This window comes from Homo sapiens, chromosome 12, assembly GCF_000001405.40.
Source record: "Homo sapiens chromosome 12, GRCh38.p14 Primary Assembly".
NCBI classification, from domain to species: domain Eukaryota; kingdom Metazoa; phylum Chordata; class Mammalia; order Primates; family Hominidae; genus Homo; species Homo sapiens.
The window spans coordinates 49,535,475-49,538,337 of NC_000012.12; the positions used below are offsets into that span (position 1 = coordinate 49,535,475).

A 2,863-nucleotide genomic window follows, 5' to 3' on the forward strand; every position below is an offset into this window, starting at 1 on the left:
TTGGGAGGCCGAGGCAGGTGGATCACCTGAGGTCAGGAGTTCAAGACCAGCCTGGCAACCCAGGTGAAACCTCGTCTCTACTAAAAATACAAAAACTAGCTGGGCATGGTGGCAGGCACCTGTAATCACAGCTACTCGGGAGGCTGAGGCAGGAGAATCATTTGAACCCAGGATGCAGATGTTGCAGTGAGCCGAGATCATGCCATTGCACTCCAGCCTGGGTGACAGAGCAAGACTCCGTTCAAAAAAAAGGAATAAAAGAAAAAACATAAAAATTAAAAAAGAATAGAAAAAAAAGATAGGGAATTGTGACTAAGAGCTGGGGGAATCCATACAAACAAAAGCCAGGTCTGGCAGGAAGATCTGAGGGACTGGGTAAAGGTGAAGAGAGAGGATAGTGGGCTGAGATCCTGTGCCTGATCACGCTCATCTAAAACAGGCCACATAAAGGAAAGGGTCAGTGGCGGTACCCCCTCCCAGTACGCATTCACATGAGTTCTTTGAGGGGCAATGGGGGAAGGGGTTTAAAGGCCCAAACAGGCCTTTGACTTTTCACTCTGCAATAAGAATGGTAATAACATTCCATAAATATTAGTGTATTTTCTTCTCCTGGAAGTGGGAACCAGGGCAGCAAAGGGTGACATGGGCATTGTGCCTGGAGCTGCTGGAGGAGGCAGTGCACCTCAGACTAGGGACTTGACCTCGCTGCCCCAAGTTTTTCATCCGTGAATTGGCAGTTATAGCTAATAACTAGCTCATAGCGTTATTATGAAGATTAATGGGACGATCCAAGTAAAGCACTTTGCACAGTGCCTGGCACAAAGTTAATGCTCAATAAGTGTAAGCTGCTGTAATCCTCAGGGGCACCCCACACATTCCATCTCACCCTGATCACCCTAACCCAAGGTGTCTGGTTTGGCTTAATGCCCAAAACCAGCCCCAGCAGGTGAGCTGGAAGCCTGAAAGTCTAAACACTTAGGCCTTACAGGGATAAGTGTAAGGCCACCCAGACATGCTACACAAGCCCAGATGACCAGTCCTCTGAGTGCCCACACAGTTAGGCTAGAGAGAGGTAGACCCAACGACCTAGGGCTGGGAGACTGTCAGGGTTCTAACCCTGGCTGTGTCATTTATCAACTCTGTTACCTTGAGCAAGTCTCTCTCTCCCTCCTCCTCCCCCTCCTCCTCTTCTCCCTCTCCCTCCCCTCCTCCTCCTCCTCCACCTCTTCTTCTTCTTAACTTCTTCCTTCTTCTTCCTTCCTCCTTTCTCCTTCCTCCTTTCTCTCTTCTCCTTCTTCTCCTTCTCCTCCTTCTTCTTCTTTCTTCTTTCTTCTTCTTCCTCTCTCCCTCTCTCTCAGCTCTGGTTCCTCCTTTGTGAAATGGAGCATAAGGAGCCCCCACCCTGGCTGTTTCACAGGGCTCCTAGGAGACTCAAAATCAGACAACAAACATTTACATGTTGCAGGTGTCACACACTGTTCTAGATCCTCTACACATACTCACTCATTGAATCCTCATTACGACCCTCTGATGTTATTATTAGCATCCGCATTTTACAGATGAGAGAACTGAGTCAGAGAAGGGTTAATAACTTGCCTTTAAAAATCACACAGACAGGCCAGGTGTGGTGGCTCTCGCCTGTAATCCCAGCACTTTGAGAGGCTGAGGCGGGCAGATCACCTGAAGTCAAGAGTTCGAGATGAGCCTGGCCAACATGGTGAAACCCAATCTCTACTAAAAATACAAACATTAGCGGGGCGTGGTGGCGCATGCCTGTGGTCCCAACTACTTGGGAGGCTGAGGCAGGATAATTGCTTGAACTTGGTCGGCATAGGTTGCAGTGAGCAGAGATAGCTCCAATGCACTCCAGCCTGGGCGACAGAGGGAGACTCCGTCACAAAAAAAAAAAAAAAAAAAAAAAAATTCACACAGACCAAAATTAAAAAAAAAATTTAATCACAGGGACAGCAAGTGGCAGACCTGGTTCCCAAGTGGGTGGGTGATTTCAATTGTGGCCTTATCCTGTCTCAAAGTGAACTGACTCCTAAAATGTCCTTCTTTTTAGTAGACAGCTGGACCGCCGCCTGGAGAGGAAGCCTTGAACGGCTGGGGGAGGGGATTACTTTACAGCCAGGATCCAGCCAAGGCTGGGGATGAGATGGGAGTAGGATCTCCCGACTCCTTAGGGTCACTCCTCAGGGTCACTCCTCGTCCTGGGGACCAGATTCCAGGCTTCACAGGACCGGAGAAGGAGGAGCGCGTCCTCCCTTCCCAAAGCGCCAGCTCATTTAGATACAGGTGCCTGGGGCTTTGGCTCTCGTCGCTGATGAGGGGTAGCATCTTTCTGATGCTGGTGACTGTGAGTGCGTCTCGAGGGATGGGGGTGCTGAGCCTACCGCTTCGCTCGTTAGGGAACAAATTGCTGTTTTGGCCCCGGCGGCTCCTCTGGGCGCGGGCGGCAGCCGCGCTCGCTGGCAAATCGTGGGAGGGAGGAGGAGCGGCGCTGGCAGGCAAGTCCGGGGGACCGTCGCAGCGCGGGAGGCCAAGAAAAGACGGCCGCCCCGGGCCCGGCTCCGCCCCGCCGGGAAGGGGCTCCCTGCAGCCGCCCCAGGGCAGCACCCCGCGCGGCGCCGCGCGGAGCTCTCCAGGACGAGCTGCGTGAGGCGCGGGGCTCGGCCTTCCTCGCTCTCCTGGTGCCAGGACCCGCACGCACAAGGTTCGGAAGTTTTTTCGCAGTGTCTGACCCCTGCCGGTCCCCTGTATTTACCACCTGACCCTCTAGCGCGCTTAGGAGAGGCAAGAGGTGACAAATGCCAGAGGGAAATGGAGGGGCAGGACAAGGGGTCTGGCGCTCCCCTCCCCA

General features: G+C 52.8%; 1 annotated feature.

Moving 5' to 3' along the window:
* Positions 2,517–2,636: a silencer, noted in NCBI's record as "silent region_4438". NCBI's record gives its function as "represses an Ori minimal core promoter by ATAC-STARR-seq in GM12878 lymphoblastoid cells {active_cell/tissue: GM12878}" and the evidence as "EXISTENCE:reporter gene assay evidence [ECO:0000049][PMID:35858748]".